General features: G+C 43.8%; 1 long non-coding RNA gene across 1 annotated transcript in view, besides 1 other annotated feature; it reads left to right on the plus strand.

Moving 5' to 3' along the window:
* The first annotated feature begins 275 nt into the window (after positions 1-275).
* LOC105377781 (uncharacterized) overlaps positions 276-25,435 on the plus strand; it is a 39,852-nt gene continuing 14,692 nt past the window's right edge. Inside the window, exon 1 of the long non-coding RNA XR_941356.3 lies at positions 276-382. This is a non-coding gene — a long non-coding RNA (uncharacterized LOC105377781). The remainder of the gene's footprint in view (positions 383-25,435) is intronic.
* Positions 24,304-24,804: an enhancer, noted in NCBI's record as "H3K4me1 hESC enhancer chr8:2128908-2129408 (GRCh37/hg19 assembly coordinates)". NCBI's record gives its function as "activates a minimal SCP1, AML or CMV promoter by ChIP-STARR-seq in naive H9 embryonic stem cells {active_cell/tissue: H9 hESC(naive)}" and the evidence as "EXISTENCE:reporter gene assay evidence [ECO:0000049][PMID:30033119]".

Raw genomic sequence — 25,435 nt, forward strand, 5'->3', positions numbered from 1 at the left:
AGCAAAATAAGACTAAATCTTCTGGAGCTCTGGCACCAGAGACCTCAAAGCTTCTGGGAGCCTGGGCCCAGAACAGACCTTCTTGCTGGGAAAGGGATCGTATGCTGGTTGTGGTAGCCTAAGGCAGGCTGCAGCCAGCCAGAGGGACAGGGAACCTAGGGACTTGCTTCAGCGGGTGGGCGTGGCCCTCTGTTGGGTGGGCGTGACAAGCTCCACCAGGTGGGTGGGGCCTGCATCAGCACAGCCTGCTCCATCAAATGGGCAGAGCCTGCTCCAGAAGTGGGAACCTTCCAACCCCACTTCCAGGCTGCCGTTTGCTGTCACAGAGTGACGTTTTCAGCATGGCTTCAGTTCTTTTGCCCAAACAGAGGAAAACTTGCAGGTATGTATTTCCGTGTTTTTCTTTTAAAGATTGCAACAAAAAGAAAAAACCCAAGTCCTTCTATTCATCTGTCAACTAGGCTACCTGAGTACAAGGAGGCTTTTATTTTTATATTTATTTATTTATTTTGAGACAGAGTCTCCCTCTGTCGCCCAGGCTGGAGTGCAGAGGCTCAGTCTGGGCTCCCTGCAACCTCTGCCTCCCAGGCTCAAGCCATCCTCATGCCTCAGCCTCCAGAGTAGCTGGGATTACAGGCACACACCACCATGCCCGGCTAGTTCTTGTATTTTTGGTAAAGATAGGGTTTCACTATGTTTCCCAGGCTGGTCTCTCCTGGGCTGAAGCCATCTGCTGGCCTCGACCTCCCAAGGTGCTGGGATTACAGGTGTTAGCTACTGCGCCTGGCCATAAGCAAGCTTTTAAAAAATGTTCCATATGTACACCATTGCTGCTTTACAGCATTTTGAAAAAATACTTCCTGCCTGTATCCAAGCAGCGACACCATTCATTCCTTCCATCGCTCATCCCCTGAGCATTGGAGACCACCCAGCCCTGGGCTCCTCTGCCTCTTAGTGCTACCAGTGCACAGAATAGCTGCTCACTAGGGATTGGAATCAAGCAATACGTCAGTGGGTGGACACTGCATTCATTACAGCAAGAGTTCACGTTATTAACTGATATGCACAATGCTGGTACAATCTTACTTTCTTTGGGATCTTTAATGTGAAATGTGAGATAACTTAGTTTGGCACCAAGGTAAATTTTGTTTAGAATTATTTGTGAGCATAGGATTTACTGAGCAAAAGAGTGAACGTGAACAAGGTCATAGAAGAAATGTTTACACTCACTAACTCTGTTTTCCAGTAAGCTTACAGCACTATTGCAAACATGCAGGCAATTAACACACAGAATCCTTAGTATTTATGCGCCGCGGCTCCATGAGGGCAGAACACCTGTGTTCTTCACGGCTGCACCTTTGCTCTGAGAGCCTGCCTGGCCCACGACAGGTGCTTCATCAATATTGCCTAAAGTTAAAGAAATCGAAGCAAATCACATCAGAGCCTCTGCTAGATTCGTTCTTATTAGCCCACCTGGCAGGACTAGAGACATCCGAGGAAATATCTAGTTAAAAATAACCTGTAAATCAGCCCTGGTACATATTAAAGCAAACACTGCTGCGTATATTATAATTTATCAACCCAGATGAACTTGTTCTGTCTGTATATAACCAAATCAAGAACAACTGTGCCACTTTGTAAATTCTAAAGGATAATTTTGGAAATTTTTGCTGGGGTACTCTCTTCTGTTTGTTTTTTCTTCCCTCCATTTCTCCTTCTCTCCTATCCGTGTTTGCTATGCATTGATCTATTTTAGTTTTGTAGTTTTATAATTAAAAATTTAAAAACACTTAGAACACTTCAGAAAAACATGTGACAGGGAAACGCACAGGCATGTGTGTACACACTTAACTATTCGAGGTCGTTAAACCTGGACGCCCATCCTTTCCCTGTCTACCACTCCAGAGTTTACCACTGTCTTGCTTGAAGTTGGTACATAACATTCTCTTGCCTCTTTTTTCCCCCTCCCCTCCCTTTCCCTTCCCTTCCTGACAGATTCTCGCTCTGTTGCCCAGGCTGAAGTGCAGTGGCAAGATTTTGGCTCACGGTAACCTCCGTCTCCTGGGTTTAAGCGATACTCCTGCCTCAGTCGCCTGAGTCGCTGGGATTACAGGTGCCCGCCACCACACCATGCTCATTTTTGTATTTTTAGTAGAGACAGGGTTTTGCCAAGTTGGCCAGGCTGGTCTCGAACTCCTGACCTCAGGTTATCTGCCCGCCTCGGCCTCCCAAAGTGCTGGGATTACAGCACTCCATCTATCTCCCTGGAGTCAGACTCCATCTATCTCCCTGGGGTTGCAGATTCACGCCCTGGTATTCTGGGCTTAGCCTAGATACAGACCCCGTGTATTTTTTTTAACAACGCATTTTTTTTTCATGATTTTGCTAGCATAAAGTACTCATGGAAGGATAATTTAAAAATATACACAATGGAAAGGTACATAAAAGCCCACACAATGCAATTAGTGGCAAAATTAACAGGGCACAGAGAGGGCTTAGCACAAGACTGGCTCATTGTCATGGCCAATAATAGTTAAAATTTACTGAGAAATTGCTACAGTTTTATATGGTTGGTTTCTCTAAGTCTGACAGCCTTGATTCGAAGAGTAACAGGAAATACTTGATCATAGCCACATTTATTGCTTTATTATATTTCGTATATATATTTGAATATATATTTATACATATAAATGTATATAACATATATATAATTGTCTTAGTCTTGTCATGCATTTATTTGTTTGTGTTTGTAGAATGCCTCTGAAATGAGAGCTCCTATAATTCATAACTGAGGCTACAGTTTGCATCTGGGGGCTGTGTTTGTTTTTCCCAGGGCCCACTCATACCCAGTCACATACCCACGGTGCTGCACGAATGCTGTGCTTGGGAAGGGCCTCCCTGGTTTGCTGTAAGTCGTATGTGCAAGGCAATATCAACTGAGGTGGTTGTGGCGAGTGAAGAGTTTTTTAGTAACGTTGATTGAGGTAGCCATAGTGAGTGGCCCTGTGACTGGACTTGGAGATCAAAGCATGTGGTTCAGACTCCATTTCTGCTTCTGACAAATGGTGCAACCTGCCAGTGCCATTTCCTTCCCATCTTTGTAGAGTGTTGTGTGTAATGGGGCAGCTCATGGACTTCCCAGAGGCTCATGTGCAGCTGGATGCGTGAAAATGCTTTATAAATTAAAAAGATGCCATGTGCAATACAAGATGCACATATATTACAGATTTCTGTGTAAATATCACAGGAAAATGTTACAAAGTTCTGCTCCATGACTTCATAATGAGTAGAAGGCGATTTTTTACATTAAAAATGGTAGGTGACAGGTTCAAAAGAGAGGTTCATGCCATGCCTACCTCCTGCCCTCACAGTGGTAGAAGCACAAAGAGCCGGGGCCTGAGGCATCTGTCTTTCCTTCTAGAAGGTATAGGAAGCATCCCTCTTTCCTTCGAGAAGGAATGGGGGGGCTGTTCCTCTCTTTGACACCTGCTGCCCTGCCTTTTCCACTGAGCCACACGCTGGCACCTGTTTCCACAATTTAGGGTCTGTTTCTTGGAGCACGTCTCTTCTTGTTACCAAATTCCATATCAGTTACGATATGCCTGCCCATAAGTAACTAGGTAACAAAACTTACCATTGCTTAAAAAGAGTTTTATTTTCTCACATCTCAAGGAGTTTGCTGACAAAACCAAAACTGAAACAACAACGGTAAGAATTTTGACATGCTCCTTAACAATGAAGATGTGGAGGTCTTGAACGTACCACTTACCATTTTAGAGCTTAGCAAGGTGGTCTAAGGTTTGTTATTCTAAAAGTCACCAGAATCAGGGGTTTTGCCACTAATATCTAACTTGCTTTAAAGAAAAGATAAATGGAACATTGTTTAAACTAATCTATATCATGTAGAACAATTTGTGTTAAAAGTACCATGCAACTTTAATATCAAATCTTTATAGTCTACTTGATTGATTTTCAGTTGAGAGATGCAAAATTCTGAATAAAAATGTATGTATATAGAATATAATACAATATTAAAGACATACACTAGGGCCTGTTGCAGCTTATTTCAAGAGTCAAAAGGAGGTTTATTTTCAGGAGATCTGTTGATGTAGTGCACACATTAATAAGAGAAAAAAATCAAATAACCATACCATTATATGCTAAAACTGCACTTGGTAGAATATAGCAGGCAGTCCTAAAACACCTCTCTGTGTATTAGGAATACAAGAAGGTAAGACAGATAGGGCAGAAAATACTGTCAGAACAAACAATATCATCTAAGCAGCAAAACACTCGAAAAGTGTCAATTAAAATCTGGAATTAGATGGATCATTTTGTGATTAATATTATTATACAAGAAGTTTTAAAAATAGTAGTAAGACAATAAAGTGAATCAAACCAAATTAATATGAGGCAAAAGACATTACACTCTCTATCTTTGCTGATTTTATAATGGCTGATGGGGAATACTCAAGAGATTCTAGTTAAAGGAAACTAGAATTAAAAATATGTCTTATGCTGGTTACGTTCAAAATAAATATACAAAAGTCCGTAGCATTTCTTTAAACTCACTAAGCATCTAGAGATGAAAAGGGGAAAGACCCCGGTCCACTTACACTCATACCAGCAATCAGGTCTAGTTGATAGAAGGACAGGAACAGCCTGGCCTTCATACAGAAAATTTAAAACTTTTTGAAAAACACAGCAAAAGGTTCTGACAGAATAGAAAGATATTCCAGATTCTAGCAAGAGAAGACACTGTGCAGTGCCTTCTTCTGCCATCCCCGTATGCTTCATTCAGTTCAAAATTAAATCCCATCAAAACTTTCTGGATTTGAAAAATCAGTAATCCAAAATTGCTGAGAAAGAGTTAAAATGTCAGTAGCTGAAGTAGGGAGGGGGATTGTGACTGACAAAAACACACTACAGAGCCAGCACAATCAGGTCGATATTGCCTGGGTGGGAGAATAAACAAATTGATCAGTGAAGTAAATTGTGAGCCACCGAATAAAGCCCATGGCCTCAGGAGAGGACTCCCAGCTGCGTGAACGACCTGCAGGGATGTAGGATCAGTGCCACATTCCCCTGTGACGTTAGGAGAAGGCACTCCAGTCCGCAAAGATTGATCTCACATGCTACCTGACCATATAACCTCAGTAGCAAATCCTAGGTGCTAATATGTATTAATATGTAAGAGCATATTTTACTTTCAGGTGTATTAGTCTGCTAAGGCTCTCATAATCAAATACACAGTGGGCGGCTTAAACAACTGATATTTATTTCCTCACAGTTCTAGAGGCTGGAAGTCCCAGAGCAAGGTGTGGCTGGGCTGGTTTCTCCTGAGGCCTCTCTCCTGGGTGTGCATATGGCCGCCCTCTCTCAGTATCCTCACGTGGGCCTCCTGGTGCCCAACCCTGGCGTCTCCTCCTCTTCTGAATAGTACAGCAGCTCCATTGGATCAGGGCTCCAATTAGGGGGTCAACATATGAATTTCAGCCAGATGCGGTGGCTTATGGCTGTCATCCCAGCACTTTGAGAGGCTGAGGTGGGAGGATTGCTTGGACCAAGGAGTTTGAGACCAGCCTGAGCAACATGGTGAAACCTTGTCTCTACCACAAAACAAAAAACCCCATAAAAACCAAAAATTAGCCCACAGTGGTTTGTGCACCTGTAGTCCCAGCTACTCAGGAGGCTGAGGTGGGAGGCTTACCTGAACCTTGGAGGTTGAGGCTGCACTGTGACAACGGAAAAAGATGCAACTACACAAAGACAGAGGAAAGGAAGGAGGCTGAGCAAGAGTGCAGTGTGATGGCCACTTCAAGCCCAGAGACACAGTGGGTGAGGGAGGGCTACCGTGTGCTGAGAGGTAGGTTTTGTCAAAGTCCCAGCTTTTATTTTAAATGCTGGATCGGTAAATTATGGAAAAACAAGTAACCAAACACTGAACTGAATAAATATAAGAGTGTCATTCATAAAATAAAAAGATGATAATCTTTTATGAAGATTATATCATCCAACTTTGCGCTCCTAAGATGTAAATAAATTCCCCAACGACTCTACTTAGAGATTCGAGATACTGTTTTAGTCAAGACCAGATGCTCAAAGTTATATGGAAAGGTGACAAAAATTCCAGTAAAGTCAACAGACAAGTGATATGGAAAAATATACTTGTGAATTTATGTCATATACACAGTGTTCTTACAAATTAAAAGAAAAAGACAAATAAATAGAAAAATAAGCAAAGTTTATGACTTAGCAGGTCATAGAAGAGCAATGAAAATGACCATTGAACACAGGAATCAACATTTAAAACTACAAGGAGACTGGAAAGTCCCAATTAAAATAGCAATGAGGTATCACTGGTATCCATCACACTGGTAAAAATTTTAAACAGCAGTAACACTTATACTGCCAAGCAGGGCTATGTGGAAAAGAAGGCACAGATACAGTGTTGCCGGAAATAGAAACTGTTACAACATGTTTTTTTTAGAATAGGATGTCAAATTCTATGCAAATTAAATATACCTATGCCCTGTCACCTAGCAACCCACTTCTGACACTATCCCACAGAAACACCAGTACCATAAAAGTCTGTATGAACAAGGATGTTCTAGTAACATTGTTCATAGTGACCCAAAGAACTCCTGGAGACAATGAAAGCTCATCAGTAAGTGTAAAGACATCTTATGATACTATGCAGCCTTAAAACATGTATTTGATTTATGCCAATTAATTCAGTGAGGTTTCCACACAGTGCTGTTGAGTAAATAAGATGAATAGACCTCATTTTTTGTAAAGCAAATATTGACCACAACACTTTATACAAATGTTATATAAAAGTATATGCATGCATATATGGAAGCACATTCATATGTATTTATATTAATATGGAGGAAATTATGGATGGATACATACCAGGTTGTTTTGAGTTGACCAGTCTAACAATAAAACTATTGTTAGAAACATGTCTATACCAAGTTAGCCACGGGCATCGTGACTCCAGGAGTGAAGACGACTGCCTCTGCATTTTGTTTTGTTTTGTTTTCTTTTCTTGAGACAGAGTCTTGCTCTGTCACCCAGGCTGGAGTGCACTGGTGCGATCTTGGCTCACTGCAACCTCCGCCTCCCGGGTTCAAGCAATTCTTGTGCCTCAGCTGCCCGAGTAGCTGGGATTACAGGCGCTCGCCACCACATCCTGCTGATTTTTTATTTTGTATTTTTAGTAGAGATGGGGTTTCACCATGTTGGCTAGGCTGGTCTCGAACTCCTGACCTCAAGTGATCTGCCCACCTCGGCCTCCCAAAGTGCCAGGCGTGAGCCACTGTGCCTGGCCCCTCTGCATCTTTTATCCATATGTTTATCTTTTCTCTTGTGTTTATTGTTTTCCATCATGAATATGCATATATTTAAGTTCATTCACAATACGCTTGCTTAAATGGGTCCACTCCTTTGAGATTTATGCTCATTTTTGGAGCATGGAGCGGAGGACAGTGTGCAAGAAAAGTCACGCTGCATGATTCATAGGTGGGACAGATTGTAGCCTCACAAATCACACCCTGTGACTCGTAGGCCGACATTTCAGCCACATTTGAACGGCATCACATCGGTTATTTACAGAAATAACAATAAATTACCTATTAACATTTTTAAAAAATATTCTCAATTGTACCACTTCCTTTCATATTTGTAGCCTATTTTTGCAATGAAATAGTGAAGTAGTATGCTGGGAAGCTAGGTTGATGGAGAAAATGAAGTTTTTTTTTTTTTGAATCCAGCTAAAAAAATGGATTGAGCCCCTCCTGTGGACTACACCATGCTGTATGCTATAAGAAATACACTTACAATATGAAATGTTCTCCAAATTAGATTGTGAGGTTCTTTAAGGATAGGACGAAAGACAGCTAGACATTCTCGATCGCCCAGTTTTAGAAAGATGAAATCATTTTCCACGTGGAGGGCAGTGAAAGAGAGGAGCTAAGTTATCAAGCGCCCTCCTCGCTTCTGCTGAGCTGTGGCTGATGCCCTGGCCATGGACCCCCTCAGCCGCTGTCTGTGCGCCTCTCAACACGCACGGCTGACTCCAGCGGCACGCCTGCTCCTCGGCCCTTGTGTCTACTGAGTACGACTGAGAATGCGTCTCCTCTCGTCAGTAATCGCTTTCATCGTGCCACTACTTTACAGAAAGTCTTTCCGGCATATGCAGTGGAAGGCCACGGACCTCCTCATCCTGCTCTTTAGGGTCCATCCATCTTCACTGTGCAAAGCAATGGTCCTTCTGGGTGACTTAGACAAAGTCAAAAGAGCTGGGTTCCAGCTTGCCATGTTCTCATCCTCATCTGCTGCTATTTCTGTCTTTAAGCAGTTTATGCACCATCCCTACCAGTTTTTAAATTGAATCTGCATAAGATTTGTGAAACGGAGCAATTGGGTAATGGTATCCGGCATCTTCTAAGCACAAAATAAAAGTGCTTGGAATGGAAGACTTGGCATCTTTCTCCTTTCCTCTTTCAGAGGGTGCAATCTTCCAACTCGGAGAGATGGAGAGATTTGCTGTCACTGTCCTCTCGGAGCTTTTCCTCTTCAAAACACTCCACAAGCAGGGCAGGCCTTTCTGTGCCCCTCTTCCCTTCCCTTGATGTTTAGCCGGTGTGCGTGTCGTCTCTCTTGTAGGGGCCTGTCTTTCCTTAGAATTTGGGCTAGTGGGTTGCCCTGAAACCTCAACTCTCCTCTGATTAAGTTGTAATTTTATAGTTTTCCAGCTTTATTCTTTTTGTTTGAGAAGCAGCAATGTTCCTTCCAGCTTTCTGCACCCTGGGTAGAAGCCGGAAGCTCCCCAAGCAGCAGACTCGCATGCCCATAGGTGATGTCTGTGACGCGCCACATCCAAACGAAGAGATATCGTTGGAAGACTTGAATCTAGCTGGAAGGCCAATGTTCTTTTCAATGTAATGCCAAAGAAAATTCACACTTGTTTGTTCTGTAGAAAAAAGTGACATAATATTATTTTTATTTTTAAATTTACTTATAGTCATATGTGCATGCCTGCTCAAAAATGCTCACCCATCATTTGCATAAGTAAATCAGTTTGTATTTAATGTTACAGTTTAAGACTCATGTTTCAGAAATACAATTTTTATTAACTGAATTCAAAGTATCTCATTTATGCCTTTTATTTTATATTGCAGTCTCTCGTTGGATTTTCCATTCCTGTGATATCGCCCTTGGACTTGGTCTCTCTCAGACATCTCAGAAATTGAGCTGTCATAGTTAATTAGAGAAAGAAAGACATAAGTTTGGATGTTTATGATAAAATACTCAGACATCTCTAGGAGACCTGGCCTCAGCATTATATTTTCCTGTCCTGTCTGCAGATGGCCCGATGTTCAGGTTGTTAATTCATTGTGTGCTGTTGCTGAAGTCCTGAGATGCCTGATTGCTTTATTGGTGCCACACAGAGAAGTTTAGCACGGAGGCTTTCAGAGGCTGAAGAGGGTAGGTGCCCTGGCACCACCTTTCACTTCAGACCAAGGTTGCTCTCCCTCTCTCTCATGCTTTAATTTATTAATGGGCTTTGTAGGTTCCGCCGTGCTTCCTGGTGTTTTCAATTTCAGGGTAATCCTCGTTTGGAGGTAAACAGACAAGGCCTGCTTGGGCCAATCCCCCTAAGATGGGCTTGAGGAGCTGTGAAGGCTGTTGGTGGGGACATTGGGCTTGCTGAACAGACTGAAAGGTATTTTCGTGTAGGTGGGAACAGCTTAGCACCAGCGTCATGAATGAGAAATTACAGCTGTGCAAACATGAAGCTTACATGTCACCAGTGAGTCTGAAAACAGACCCACCTGGTCTTTTTATTTTCACCTTACCTTAAAGATGGGACAAAAGAAGTCTCTGGTTAGTTGAAACTGCTCAAGGCTCAGATTTTTTTTTCCTTTGTTTATTGGTAAGTTTCTTTTCCTTTCATCAACTTGTTGTTTCACACATTTCAGAATGAAAGGAACTTATGACCACTAGAAATGTACCAGGCACTAGACATAATAAGTCATTTAATTTTCTTTCTTTTTTTTTTCAAGTCTTCCCTTTTATTTTATTTTTTAATTTAATTTTAATTTGATTTAATTTTTTTATTATACTTTAAGTTCTAGGGTACCTGTGCACAACGTGCAGGTTTGTTACATATGTATACATGTGCCATGTTGGTGTGCTGCACCCATTAACTCGTCATTTACATCAGGTATATCTCCTAATGCTGTCCCTCCCCACTCCCCCCACCCCACAACAGGCTCCGGTGTGTGATGTTCCCCTTCCTGTGTCCAAATGTTCTCATTGTTCAATTCCCACCTATGAGTGAGAACATGCGGTGTTTGGTTTTTTCTCCTTGCGATAGTTTGCTGAGAATGATGGTTTCCAGCTCCATCCATGTCCCTACAAAGGATATGAATTCATCATTTTTTATGGCTGCATAGTATTCCATGGTGTATATATGCCACATTTTCTTAATCCAGTCTATCATTGATGGACATTTGGGTTCGTTCCAAGTCTTTGCTGTTGTGAATAGTGCCGCAGTAAACATACGTGTGCATGTGTCTTTATAGCAGCATGACTTATAATCTTTTGGGTATATACCCAGTAATGGGATGGCTGGGTCAAATGGTATTTCTAGTTCTAGATCCCTGAGGAATCGCCACACTGTCTTCCACAATGGTTAAACTAGTTTACAGTCTCACCAACAGTGTAAAAGTGTTCCTATTTCTCCACATCCCCTCCAGCACCTGTTGTTTCCTGACTTTTTAATGATGGCCATTCTAACTGGTGTGGGATGGTATCTCATTGTGGTTTTGATTTGCATTTCTCTGATGGCCAGTGATGATGAGCATTTTTTCATGTGTCTTGGCTGCATAAATGTCTTCTTTTGAGAAGTATCTGTTCATATCCTTTGCCCAGTTTTTGATGGGGTTATTTGTTTTTTTCTTGTAAATTTGTTTGAGTTCTTTGTAGATTCTGGATATTGGCCCTTTGTCAGATGAGTAGATTGCAAAAATTTTCTCCCATACTATAGGTTGCCTGTTCACTCTGATGGTAGTTTCTTTTGCTGTGCAGAAGCTCTTTAGTTTAATTAGATCCCATTTGTCAATTTTGGCTTCTGTTGCCATTACTTTTGGTGTTTTAGACATGAAGTGCTTGCCCATGGCTATGTCCTGAATGGTAATGCCTAGGTTTTCTTCTAGGGTTTTTATGGTTTTAGGTCTAACGTTTAAGTCTTTAATCCATCTTGAATTAATTTTAGTATAAGGTGTAAGGAAGGGATCCAGTTTCAGCTTTCTACATATGGCTGGCCAGTTTTCCCAACACCATTTATTACATAGGGAATCCTTTCCCCATTTCTTGTTTTTATCAGGTTTGTCAAAGATCAGATGGTTGTAGATGTGTGGTATTATTTCTGAGGGCTCTGTTCTGTTCCATTGGTCTATATCTCTGTTTTGGTACCAGTACCATGCTGTTTTGGTTCCTGTAGCCTTGTAGAATAGTTTGAAGTCAGGTAGCGTGATGCCTCCAGCTTTGTTCTTTTAGCTTAGGATTGACTTGGCGATGCTGGCTCTTTTTTGGTTCTGTATGAACTTTAGGGTAGTTTTTTCCAATTCTGTGAAGAAAGTCTTTGGTAGCTTGATGGGAATGGCGTTGAATCTATAAATTACCTTGGGCAGTATGGCCATTTCTTTCATGGTATTGATTCTTCCTATCCATGAGCATGGAATGTTCTTCCATTTGTTTGTGTCCTCTTTTATTTCATTGAGCAGTGGTTTGTAGTTCTCCTTGAAGAGGTCCTTCACATCCCTTGTAAGTTGGATTCCTAGGTATTTTATTCTCTTTGAAGCAATTGTCAATGGTAGTTCACTCATGATTTGGCTCCGTGTTTGTCTGTTATTGGTGTATAAGAATGTTTGTGATTTTTGCACATTGATTTTGTATCCTGAGACTTTGCTGAAGATGCTTATCAGCTTAAGGAGATTTTGGGCAGAGATGATGGGGTTTTCTAAATATACAATTATGTCATCTGCAAACAGGGACAATCTGACTTCCTCTTTTCCTAATTGAATATCCTTTATTTCTTTCTCCTGCCTGATTGCCCTGGCCAGAACTTCCAACACTATGTTGAATAGGAGTGGTGAGAGAGGTCATCCCTGTCTTGTGCCAGTTTTCAGAGGGAATGCTTCTGCCTTCCGAGGTCAGCTCAGACCCTGCACCCAGCAGTCCCGTGTCTGTGTGAGCCTCTCTTTCTCCAGTGAGCACCCCCCAGTGCATGGCTGCAGGCAGCTCCAAGGGAAAGTCTCAGCACACACTTGCCCTGGGGTGGCCAGGATCTCCTTGTTGCCACTTCAGCACATTCGATTGGTGTCTTGCACGTTGAAAAAATCACTTAGCATCTCTGAGACGCTGATTGCTCACTCTATGATGGGAAGGAAGACTCTTTTCTCCCCTGCCTCACAGGACTCCTGGGGAATCAGCAGGCCTTGTGCCTAGGACATCGGGTCAATCAGTGCCAACCTCAATGATACAATGCTAACCAACATGAATTTTCAAAACCAAAACCTGCAAATGAACAACGATTTTATCTGGCGACGAACATTCCGTGTTCTCCTTTGATGAAGGGCTGAGTGGACTTGCGGTGCCAGTGAGCTTTTCCCGGTCAGACTGTGTACCCAAGCCGAGCATGAATTGGCTTTCCAGCTTTCATGCCTTCTTCCTGCTCTAATGACACTGCTCGCAGGTTGAACATCCACTGGCAATTTCAGCAGATGCGACCTCAATTTCCACGCAATCATGTCTGTTCTGGCAGCGGGCATCACCGCACAACACTTTTGCTTGGTGGCTCTGAGGACAGAAGTTACAGCCCGGCGCTGGGGTTTCCTGCCTCGTGGTAACATGAAAATCACCTTGTCAATCAGGCTACCTCTATCCTTTATGAAATGGGACCATGACACTGTCACATTACCCCAGGAAGCAAGATAATTGTGCCTCTCTTGACATATGCCTAAATACTTGGTAGCACTTGAACAGCATAATTTTTTATTCTCATAAATGTATCAAATATGAATATGGGAGGAGGCTCTGGCAGGCCCCCACTAAGTCACTGAATACTCATTTTATGCTCTTCGTTACCCCTCAGCATTGTCTGAAATCACTGCTCTCATATATTAGATCTGTAATATGTTACCATGAACACATTCTTCTCTTCTTGGATTTAAACTGAAACAATTTTGAGTAATAAACATGGTGATTTAGAGAATTCAATTATAATCCTAACCATAGAGAAACTAGGGTCTCTAGTTTCTTTGATATAATTCTGACTAACAGAGGGAATTTGTGACAAGTTGATGAAAACGTTGACAGATTTCTTTGCTTCTCTCAATCTATCCTTTGGCTTGTTAAAATAAGGCCAAGGTAACAGGTAATTTACTTAGTGATACAGAGAAGAGTTTTCAAAGGCTGCCATGGAAGCATAACAGAACTATTTCAAACATTTTGGAAACTGTCTAAATTCCCACCTAAAACTTGGACGGCCAATGCGAATGGAGTGTCTGCCGTGGGCTGGTTCCAGGTGAGCTCAGCTGCAGGTGGAAAGTTGTCTTTCTGCGTGTATGACCTACCCTGCATCTGACTGGGGCACTTGTTACTCGGGCAGCCTGAATCTCCTGGTGGTGAGGAGGTCAGGTCATCCTGCTGCCGTGTTGTTTAACCCCAGAGCACAGGGGTGATAGTGATGATGTCAGCGGGGTTAGGTTTTCCGAGCAAGAAACTCTGCAGGTGTCTTGCAGGGGCTGTGGGGAGGTGGCTGGCGTAGGAGGGAAGGCACAGGGGATTCCTTAACAAGAGCTGCTTGTTCTTGAAACAAAGGTGGTCTTACCGGGGTATCTATAGCCCCACACCACGTTAGCTGAAGCTGACCTCTGTTGCTATGGACTCATCCTACCGGAAAACCAGATCAGACTCAGATGCTGGGTCCTTACTAACTGGTTACAGAGTCTTGGCCTGAGAAGCCAAGAGACCTTGGCGTTATCTCTTCCGATGTTTCCAGGGAGTGGAAGGGGGTTTCCTGAGGAAGGAACTCCCTGTGTAGCCACTGGGCTGGGGGCACTTAATCCCCAAGCCACGCTCTCCTGAGTGGGGCAGTGCATGTTCCTAACTCTGCTGCGTGGAATCCAAGGATGTCTCTCCAACCACGAGTGTGGGCTGCCTCTGCTGGTCTCAGTTCTCCCTTCTTCCAAAGGGCAATGGCAGGCTCTGCACAGGCATGCTTTTCTACACACGTGGCTGATGGGGCAGGCGAGGAACTTGAACCATCTAAGACAGTAACCTCAACAGGTTTAGAACTGAACATTTTAATTAGATGTCAGCTGGGATTGCTTCTGGCCATGAAGGGGGATTAAAGGCTCCTGCCTGCTGATAAACAAATGTGCGTTTAATACCAGAGTGGCAGTGAGATACCTGACTGAGCTTTGCCACGTGGATTTTTTCAAAACTTCATGAAAACACAGGCGCTTTTGGGATAACACTGCAGACCATGGAGATCACGCCCTCCCCTCATTCGGCAGATTAATGAGGCTACCTGGATTTGGGTCTCTCTAGAGTCATACATATGTTATAATTTTTCATTTAGTATTATATGTTACAGCATTATAATTGGTAAATACCAATTTGAATATCGAGTCTGACTTAAGGTCATGGAAGTCCCCCGTCACCTAGAAAAATTGCCGTGTTCTATGATTGCAGCCGCCTCTGTGGAATGGTGTGTGGGGCGCTAGAATTATCCTCCCTGCTCGTAAATAGCTTTTTTTTTTTGGTCTACCAACGTGCCTGAGGCTCTTGTTATGGGAGAGCCTTTTCCTTCAGGGGGTGACATTGTTCTGGCCTCCTTAGCTTGAAACTGTTTCCTCCTGGATGCCTGTTGCTGACCTTGGCTGCCCTGGTCTACACACCTTCCCCATTTCCCAGGATCAGAGCTGGACGTGGAGGCAGATAGCACGGAGAAAGGACACTGTGAGGTCTCAGCAAAGACAGCCCTTGAGAGCTTCCCAGAGGTTGGGTTCCTGATGGGGATGGTGGCTACATTACTGTGTTCATTTGGCAATAATTCGTAGAGTTTTGTATATATATTATATATATATATGTGTGTGCCTGTATATATATATATATATATATATATAGCTTGTTCACTTTCCATGCGTGTGTTATTTATTTTAAAATACTTTATTTATAGAGTAGGTTTAGTTTCACAGCAAAATTGAACGCTTCTTCTCTACACACTCCCTGCCTCACTCAGGCACAGCCTCCTCGTTAAACTGACATGGCACACTGGCGGGCGTGTCTGATCAAAAGCTGCTTTTGCCCCAGGGGCCGTGTTTTAGCTAGTCCTCAATGTGGTCCATTGTCCAAGCCCCACCTCTGGAGTCAAGTTCCACCTCCTACTTCACTGTTAATGAAAATAATAATTGAATCATCTTGAAAAAGAAATCTCCAAATGATCCAGTTACACTGTTTCTCATAGACATGCGCTTGGGTGCCTAATAGTCCTTGTAATAAGAGGGTTATTTTTCACACCTCGCTGAGACCTCCTGACCCACTGCTCCCTAGTGGGTAATGGAGAGGACGTGGGGAAAGAATGTGGGTCCCAGTCTTCTCATCACAGCCTCATCACCAGCTAGTCCTGTGAATTTGAGCAAATCCTAAATAATTTTATATCACATTTGTCAGTCATGAGAAGGGAATACCCATATGTAGCTCTGTGTTTCATTGGATGTATGAAAAAGTCAAATGAGAAAATCACACAAACATGAAGTATAATATGTAAACTATCATGTGGATTAAATGATACAGTGAGAGCTAATTAGGATCACCGTACCTGCATTAATGTAATGTTGCTGCTTCGTTTTTTTTTTTTTTTGAGATGGAGTCTCGCTCTGTCGTCCAGGCTAGAGTGGCGAGGTCTCTGCTCGCTGCAACCTCTGCCTCCTGGTTTCAAGCGATTCTCCTGCCTCAGCCTCCTGAGTAGCTGGGACTACAGGTGTGTGTGGTCTCAATCTCTTGACCTCGGCCTCCCCAAGTGCTGGGATTACAGGCGTGAACCGCTGTGCCTGGCCGCTTCTGCTTCTTAAGAGTGGTCTTAGATGACAGTCATAGCACTCACTCGTTATTTTAAGGAGAAGGAGAAGTTTAGAGGTGGGAGAGAGACAGCTGTGGCCTGTCACTGTCTCCGTCACCTCAGAAGTCACTGGAATCCTTAATTTCTTCTCTGAGAGATGACAGGCTGCCTATGGCGTGCCTAAATTCTTACTCAAGTTTCACAGTCTTCAGTCTTAGTCAATCTTTTCAATCATGTGAGGTTGGATTTGCAGGTGAGATCAAGTCACAAAATGCAATTATACTTTGAGTCAAAATTTATTGGGACCAAATTCATGTTCCTCTTGGGAGGAGGTCTCACTTTCTCTAAAAGAATTTAGGGTAAAGTAATGACTTCCCTGCTTGCAGTGTCATAAAATTATACTGAAACGATCTTTCGGGATAGTGTCTGTTAGCTATTTATATTTGGGTCCTGTACTGGCAAATGTTTTGGATTTTATGACTTACATTTATTATTGTGTGGAGCCAAGTAGGTCCACATTCAGCAGTGCTTGTAAGTTATGTCCATGACCGGAAAAAATTATCGCAGAGGTCCTGTGCTTGCCAGGATTTAAGCAGATTAAGGAGTCCTCAGTCAGGTAGATGTCCATGAGTGAGGTGGTTAGATGAAGGAAATGAAGTCATTCCAAAGCCAGAGGACTCACAGACATGTCTGTGGTCCCGTGTGTGCCTGTACTGTCAAAATGAAGGCTCGCGATAACCCAGGTTCCTGGGCTACCGTCAAGGGTTTTACTGTGCCTTTTAGGAGACCCTCAAAAGTCTCCTCTTGCCCTTCAATGCCTTCCTTGAGGCAATTAGCTATGGGGCTGAACATCCCCAGGTGGTCAAGATAACCTGAGAGGAACCAAATCTCATCGTGTGTAATGAGGGCTTCTTCCTTCTCTTCAGGGACATATGTCTTGGAGGAGTTCCCTATCAGTTTGTAGGACGAAAGAATGGTGAGAGACATGGGAAGAGAACAGCTGATCGGATCCCGGTCCTCTTCCTCGAAGCATCCATGGAAGGCTCTCGAATGGCTGAATGTCAGGGGTGCTTCATCAGCCTCACTAAAGATGGAGGAGGAGAGGGGTCAAAGCTGGGCTCAGATGAAGCTAGGACAGTGTGGCAGAGCCCTGGGCTCCCTGCGGGGCATGGGGAAGCCTCTGAGGATGGCTGAACCTTGTGGGGAGGTGAGATTTCCACCCGCTGGTGTCCCTGCTCCCCTCCCCTGTATGACAGTGTGAGAGGGGAACCATAGCCGGCTCCTTAGCTTTCCACTGGTAAAATGATCACTAACTTGCCCTTTGGGTGATAATTTAACTCACATCTTAACCATACAGTTCCCTGATGCCTTAAATCAGTGGTCCCCAACCTTTTTGGCACCAGGAACCCGTGGAAGACAATTTTTCCACGGACGGGGTGAGGGGGATGGCTTCAGGTTGACTCAAGCACATTTACGTGTATTGGGCACTTTATTTCTATTATTATTATTACATTATAACATATATTGAAATAATTATGCAACTCACCATCACATAGAATCAGTGGGAGCCCTGAGCCTGTTTTCCTGTAACTAGAGGGTCGCGTCTCAGGCTGATGGGTTGAGGACCCCTGCTTTAAATATCATCACCATTTAATTCCTTTAAAAACATCCATGAAGCACGGACTCGAGCCAGCTATTGTTTTGTTTGCTGGGGCGTAAGCCCACAAACAAGCCCCGTCCCTGCTGCTGAGGAAGGCCGTGCATTTGTGTCGCCAGGAAGCAGAGTGGCTTCCTGCATGTGCGCGGCTGACCGTGACAGAGCCTGGCACAGATGTGGAGAGGGGAGAAGTACATCCCTCCAAGACACCCGGGAGGGCCTCCTGGAAGAGGGGCCCAGGGTGGCTCAGACTCCAAATGTGTGGGAAGTTGAATTGGAGGGAGAATTGCTGTCTAGGAGAAGAGCCTGAGAAAAGTCAAAGAATTGTGGGAAAATTTCCCAGAGATCATGGATAATTCAAGACTGAATTTTGTACCCCCACCTGGTTGGCATCAGCTGCTGGTCTGTCAGCTATTCTTAGCAGAAAAAAAAAAAATCCCAGACAATATTGTCTATATTTCTCAAAAAAGCCCTTGCGTTTTGAATGGATATTATTATATCACACCTTAAATTAACAGGGAACCATTTCAAATCCCCATTTGAAGTTTTACTTTACATCAAATTCTCACTAGACTGAAAGATCCCCGAGAGTGGGGAGACATTGTTTGCTTCTGTTTATAGAGGCTCAGTACAGTCCCTGGAACTTGACAAGTACTAGCTGTGCTGGCTGAATGGACGCACATACTTTATATGGCGTCTGGTGACTGTCTCTGACTTTGCAAGGTGTCATGTTTTCTCTACTTTGAAAGGGTTGGGTTTGATCAGTACTTTCTCAGTTTACTCAGGGAGTCACTTACACAGCACAGCCACCATGAATAGCGAGGATCAACTCTCCTTCCAAGATTTCCTGTCGCTGAAGACAGCACCGCATGGATGTATTCATCCTGTCCATGGACTATTGACTGATTCCTGTTTTCTCTTTTCTTTTCTTTTGAGATGGAGTCTCACTCTGTCTCCAGGGCTAGAGTGCAGTGCTGCGATCTCATCTCACTGCAGTCTCTGCCTCCCAGGTTCAAGTGATTTACCTGACTCAGCCTCCTGAGTAGCTGGGACTACAGGCGCCCACTACCACGTCTGGCTAATTTTTTTTTATTTTTAGTAGAGATGGGGTTTCACCATGTTGGCTAGGCTGGTCTCGAACTCCTGACTTCAAGTGATCCACCCGCCTCAGCTTCCCAAAGTGCTGGGATTACAGGCCTGAGCCACCGTGCCTGGCCCCACTTTCTGTTTTCTATAGTCAAGTATGCATTAAGTAATCCTGATGCACCCATGTATCCTGAAAGCAGGTGTTTATCTTGCTTGGTTAACGTGAGAGTAGCATAAGGTAGACACCACAGGTCTGGTTCAGGGCTGCCACACATATTCTCTGTTCCCACGTCAAAGACTTCACTGACTTCCCTTGGTCAACCAGAGCATAAGTATGCTTTTTGCTAATGACAACAGATGAACAGGAGGTCATCAGCTGAGCAGAAATTATGGTGAGTGTGTTTCATACCTGGGGCCCATGGCTTTGTAATCACTTAGGTTTTTAAATTATTTACATTGTATTTCACCAATGTGCCCTCTTATAGCCCCTTTTTACTTTAAGTACAGTAGTTGGGAAACTAAGTGACTCATAAGAAACTGAAATTAAAATAGATTTGTATCAGGAGAAGCTGACAGTTTGGAGTTTGATAGTCGATAAAAACTTGAAAATTTCTTTCTTTTTATTTGGCCCTGGGGCATAAAGTATTTATTGAGCTGACAAACTCAAGCTGATATACTACAAGAGCATTTCATCAATAATATCTCTTTTGCTTATCCAGTAAGTAACCTCAGTATTAAATAGAGAGGAAAAAAAATCACTTGGTGAAGATATCCACTCCCAAACAGCAATAGATGGAAAAGGTTATAAATCCAGTTACGATTCAACTAAAGACTAATTGGACCGCTTTCATAAGAACAGATGAGACTTCCTAGCAAGGCAGACAATTGATCGTGCCCTGTAATTCCAGACAGTCCTTCTGTCAGAGATGCTGAGAAAGGTCCCACTGAGTCAGGACCTGCCACTGGAACCCTGCGCCTGGCAGGGAAGGGACCCCAGAGGATGAAGGGCAGGGACTTGGGGTACTGACTTGGCTATGCAATGACCTAATTCTCTAAAAAAATGCAGATTTTGTCATGCCTTATGTCCTGAATCTGTGAGTATCTCTGTTCTATGTGATAGTGTAGACCGTAGATGCTAGAGGAGCAGCAAGTTGTTTAAACATTTTAAATAAAAAGATCAGGTAATAATATTAGGATCTCTTTAGAATTTAGCTAGAAATGAACAGATTTGAATCATCAATGCAAAAAGATCTCCCAATGAATATATTGAAAAATAGTATCATATTGCAATTTGGAGTAACTATTTTCCCACTTAAATAATTTTATTTTACCAGTTTTGTGTAACGTGAGGATAGTAAATCCTTTTTAATCTACATTTTAATGTCATTTTGAGGACCCAATACGATGCTAACAAGTGGTTCCACAATCTCAAACTTCCATGTGTGAAATGTTGTATGTGAGGATTTTATCCCTTCCCCAGCAATACTGACACTTTCCAGTAAAAAAAAAGATACCAGTTTAGAATTTCTCTACTCTGTAAAATAAAAATAGGGAGAATATGTACTTTTGGCCGCCTTGAGAGGGAAGGAGCTCTTTCAGAATATTGTTCCTTCGAAGTTGACCCTCCTTGGTGAGGCTGGGCATGCCCAGGGGCAGGGGCTCTGTCTTTCCTGCACAGACATTCCCATCGCAGAGCAAATGCAAACATTGAGAGAAGCCACAAATGGTTTGTGTGTGTGCTGCTGCAGTGGAATGCACTGTCTTTATTTTAAAATTATTTTTAATTTTTGTGGGCACATTGGAGGTGTATATACTTATGCGGTACATGAGATGTTTTGATGCAGGCGTGAAAGATGAAATAAGCACATCGTGGAGAATGACGCTTCTATGCAATAATATGTGTCTGGATGCTTGTCACAAGTATCTAGCCCTTCGAGCATTTATCCTTTGTGTAACAATCCAATTATACCGAGTTCTTTTAAAATGTACAATTAAGTTCTCACAAGTGCTTTTAATGAGTAAGAGATGATAAAGGCAACATGCTTTTACAGGTCCAAAATGACTGAAGTTGTGATTTGTAATGTGGCATTCCCTCTATTGTGTGTAAGGTCAACACCATTCTATTTTGAATAACAGAAACACTATTATTATTATTACCTTTATATGGCTCACCTTGATTTTTGGTCCTTCTACACTACTTTTTTCCTGTAGGTGATTACTTTTTGGCTGGGTGCAGTGGCTCACACCTGTAATCCCAGCACTTTGGGAGGCTAAGGCAGGCAGATCACCTGAGGTCAGGAGTTTGAGAACAGCCTGGCCAATATGGTGAAACCCTGTCTCTACTACAAATATAAAAATTAGCTGGGCGTGGTGGTGGGCATCTGTAATCCCAGCTACTCGGGAGACTGAGGCAGGAGAATCGCTTGAACTGGGGAAGCGGAGGTTGCAGTGAGCAGATAGCACCATTGCATTCTAGCCTGGGTAACAGAGTAAGACGCTGTCTAAAAAGAAATTTTTTTTTTTAACTTTTAAGCTCAGGGGTGCATGTGCAGGTTTGTTACATAGTTAAAATCATGTCATGAGAGTTTGTTGTACAGATTATTTCATAGCAGGTGTTGAGCCACTACCCAATAATTGTTTTTTTCTGATCCTCTCCCTCCTTCCACCCTCTACCCTCCAGAGGGGAACAACCCACACTGGGGCCCAGGGAGGGTGGTGGGCGGGAGGAGGGAGGAGGGAGGGGATGAGAATAATAATGGTTACTAGGCTTTATACCTGAGGCTGAAAGAATCTGCACAACAAACTCCCACGGTGCGAGTTTACCTATGAAACAAACCTGCACATGCACCCCTGACCTTAAAAGTTAAATAAGAAAACCAAAACAGCCACAACAGCAAACACTGTGTAAGTGAATATGAAGAGTGGAAATTCTTGACGCCTTTCCTCCTTGTGTACACGTGAGCCTGTGCCGAATCGCAGGGGTGGTTTCCGTGCTGTCCACTCGCCGTCCGCTTCAGTGTGTGAGGACTGGGAGCGTTATCAGTTGTAACCAGAGACAACACTCCCACAGGAGATATCACAGTGTCCCTTCCTATGAATAATACGTGTCTGTTTCTTGACGCTTCCTCTACTTTTGGACATTTGGGTGGTTCTTGGCATTTAATCATAAAAATGCTGAAGTAAATGTCCTTAGGTGTCAATTTTGCATACTACTTTATGACATTAGTATTTTCTTTTCTTTCTTTTTTTCCCCTCTCTTCCTTCCTTCCTTCCTTCCTTCCTTCCTTCCTTCCTTCCTTCCTTCCTTCCTTCCTTCCTTCCTTTTTTTTTTGACAGTGTCTCTCTCTGTTGCCCAGGCTGGAGTGCAGTGGTGTGACCTCGGCTCACTGCAACCTCTGCCTCCCAGGCTCTAGCAATGGAACTATAGGCACCACCATGCCCAGCTAACTTTTTGTATTTTTAGAAGAGACAGAGTCTTGCTATATTGCCCAGGCTGGTCTTGAACTCCCGGGCTCAAACGATCCGCCCCCCTCAGCCTCCCACAGTGTGAGCCACAACATCTGGCCGATATTAATATTTTCCTGCAGAAGTGGACTCACTGTTTATACATTCGTGGTGTTACCAGTGTGATAGTTTCGTATGGGCACATATACCCTATGTATACATAGGCATAGGTGCATCTTACTGGTTTTCCTTTCATCTTGTTTTGGGGTTTCCATAGGTTCAAACCCTTATAGTGGAGGCATTTGCATGCTTTATTTCAGGTAACCCTCCCAACAATCTTGTGAGGTAGACGTCACCGTCACCGCTGTGCCAGGGAGAAACTTCGGCTGGATTCAGGCCCAGAGCTGGGGCGTGGCAGAGCTGGGGTTCAGGCGGGGACCCCCGCACACAGCCTGCTCCTGTTTTCTGGGCTGCGTCCCCGGCGTGGTTAAGAGTCCTGGGCGGCTCATGCAACTGCACGGAGTGGCTGTGACTCCACGTAATAAACGAGGAGGCTCTGTAAAGCCCCCTTTTGTCCGAATACGAGGGCTTCGGCGATTCCTTTCAACAGTCCCGTGCATCTGAAGCTCATGCTGCTGCTGCTGATTTTGGAATCGCCCTTTTTGCCATTCACGTTTTCAAGACTTTTTACGTAGCAGTTCGAAGGCTTTTATTTAATTTGAGAATCATCAGTGAGCTCATCAATTCTGGAAATGGAAACATTCCCAGTGTGCTTCATGGATAAAAACCTGTGACTCTGAAGCCCTGTCTCAGGACTTTGTGGATTTTAACATCACTCATCAGCTCCGGCTTGCTGTTTAAAGTTTTTAAAAATATAAAGCAAAAGGTGTTTATTTAATTTGACATTAATGCACAAACTGATCAATTATGGAAATACAAACATTTCCAATGTATTTTATTGATAAGAATTTTAAGCAACTAAAAGCATCCCCTTGTATGTTTTTCATTCCAACCCACTTGCATGTTGTAATTAAGACCCCACCAAGTCACACAGACAACACGCAACCTAAAAAGACCTGATCTTTCCTACTCTTCCTTTCCTATGAAGTTTGAAAAAGTCAGAAGTTAAAAACTGTTCATTTGTCACCACGGCCTATTACCAGACACCATCCCAGTTACCCTGGGTTCCGTGGACTCACTGGAAGTGGGGGTAAAGGATCCCGGGCATGCTCAGTCCTCCGTGGTGAGTGCCGGCAGTGATGAGATTTCCTCCTGTAATGGTCTGGGGGCTTCATCATGAGCTGCACCCGAACAGGGAAGGTGTCCCCACTGGAGGCAGTCTATTTTCCAACATCCCCAAAGACTACCAGTTGGGCATGGTTTGGTGGAGGCCGGGGGTTAGGACAAGCCTTCATCCAGTGTCCAGTGTTGCCACATGGGAAACAGACTCCCGGAGAGGTGGGGGAGTTTTCTTTCGGGTTATTGGGAGGCTTTTGTGTAACTGACTTTTGGACAGCAGAGGCCAGCATCTGGTATTTTAAATGGTGTTCTAGTTTGAGAGCAGTGAGGAGTGGTTGTCTTGGAGAGGTTGATGTAATTAGGAAAGTTATATTGAAAGAAACAAGCAAAAGGAGAAAAAAGTTATTTGTGTAGGAGTAAACTCCTGGAAAGTTCCCTGAAATCATAGGTCTCATAGTGCAGGGAGGAGGTCATCAGGACGTGTAATGGAAGTTTCATAAGGGTACCACCGAAGGTCTGTGACAAGGTTGGCTAGGAAACAATGAACGTCTGGAAGAAAAAGAGACATAAGTGGCTTATGTAGATTTCTCTTCCTTTTCCTCTGGGATTTGGATGGCGTGAAGGGAAGTGGGTCCCTTCCCTAGGATGGAAAAAACGCCTTTTTGGCGTTTGATGCTTACAGAGAGTAAGCAGCAAAGGCGCGTGTCGTGACACTTGCGGAGGCTGCAGTCCATGCTCCTTCCCCGCTTCCATGTGCTCTGCTCCAGAAACAAAGCGAGTTATGTGCTGACTCACAGATTCCTAGAAAATCCACTTGCTTTCCAGGGAAGAGCTGGGAGTGAGGAGACAGAGACAATGGTGTTTTTCCCACACCTGCCTGGGTTGCAGCTGGGATGGGCAGTGAGGCAGCTTCGGGGGGAACTCGCTTCTGTTTTCTCTTTTTAAATAAAACAGGGGCTGGATTTGATAAAGTCTGACACTGCTTTCTACTCTGTGGTTTCCTAATTCTGTTGTTCTTTATTTTCACAGACCATGACCTGGAACTTCTGAACGAACCTACTGTGAATTTTCTAAACCGTTGGCTGCTCTTGTTATTGTTAAATAGTGGAGGCATTTGGTGTAATCTTTTTCAATCCACATCCATTCCCCCAAACCAGAACAATGTTAGGCACGTAAAAGACACTCAGACATTTGGCGGGTGAGTGAGTGAGCCGAGGCCATCCTTGGCTTTGTTGCAGGACAGCCTTCCTTGTCGGCCTGCTGCTGGCTCTGCTGGTGTGGGCGTCAACTTGTGACGAGGACCTTCTTATGTGTGAGTTTGGGAGCTGGGCAGGTGCCTTCTCTAGGCTGGCTGCCTTCCTTTTATGAGAGAGCACTTCCTATAGATTATCACATATTTTTATATAGCCTACATCTTGTGCAGCTGAATTGAGGCAGCCTGGAGTGGCAGAAATAATTGTGGAGCCAGGAGGACTGGATGTCAGCATCAACTGTGACATTGATCCGTTGTGTGGTTTGGGGACACGTGCCTTGTGTCTCTGGGTCGTGTCCTCTCCAGCTTTAATGTGAGGGGATTGGGTGACACAGTCTCTGAGTTTCCTGCCCACTCTAAAAGTCTGTCTTCTTAATTCATTCTTGCATGTGAGGAAGAAATTCAGAGGTTATCAGGGGGACACGTGGGGAAGTGATGGCACCCGGCGAGGTTATCAGGGGGACACGTGGGGGAAGTGATGGCACCCGGCGAGGTTATCAGGGGGACACGTGGGGAAGTGATGGCACCGGCGAGGTTATCAGGGGGACACGTGGGGAAGTGATGGCACCCGGCGAGGTTATCAGGGGGACACGTGGGGGAAGTGATGGCACCCGGCGAG

Source organism: Homo sapiens, chromosome 8 (assembly GCF_000001405.40).
Source record: "Homo sapiens chromosome 8, GRCh38.p14 Primary Assembly".
Taxonomy (NCBI): Eukaryota; Metazoa; Chordata; class Mammalia; order Primates; family Hominidae; genus Homo; species Homo sapiens.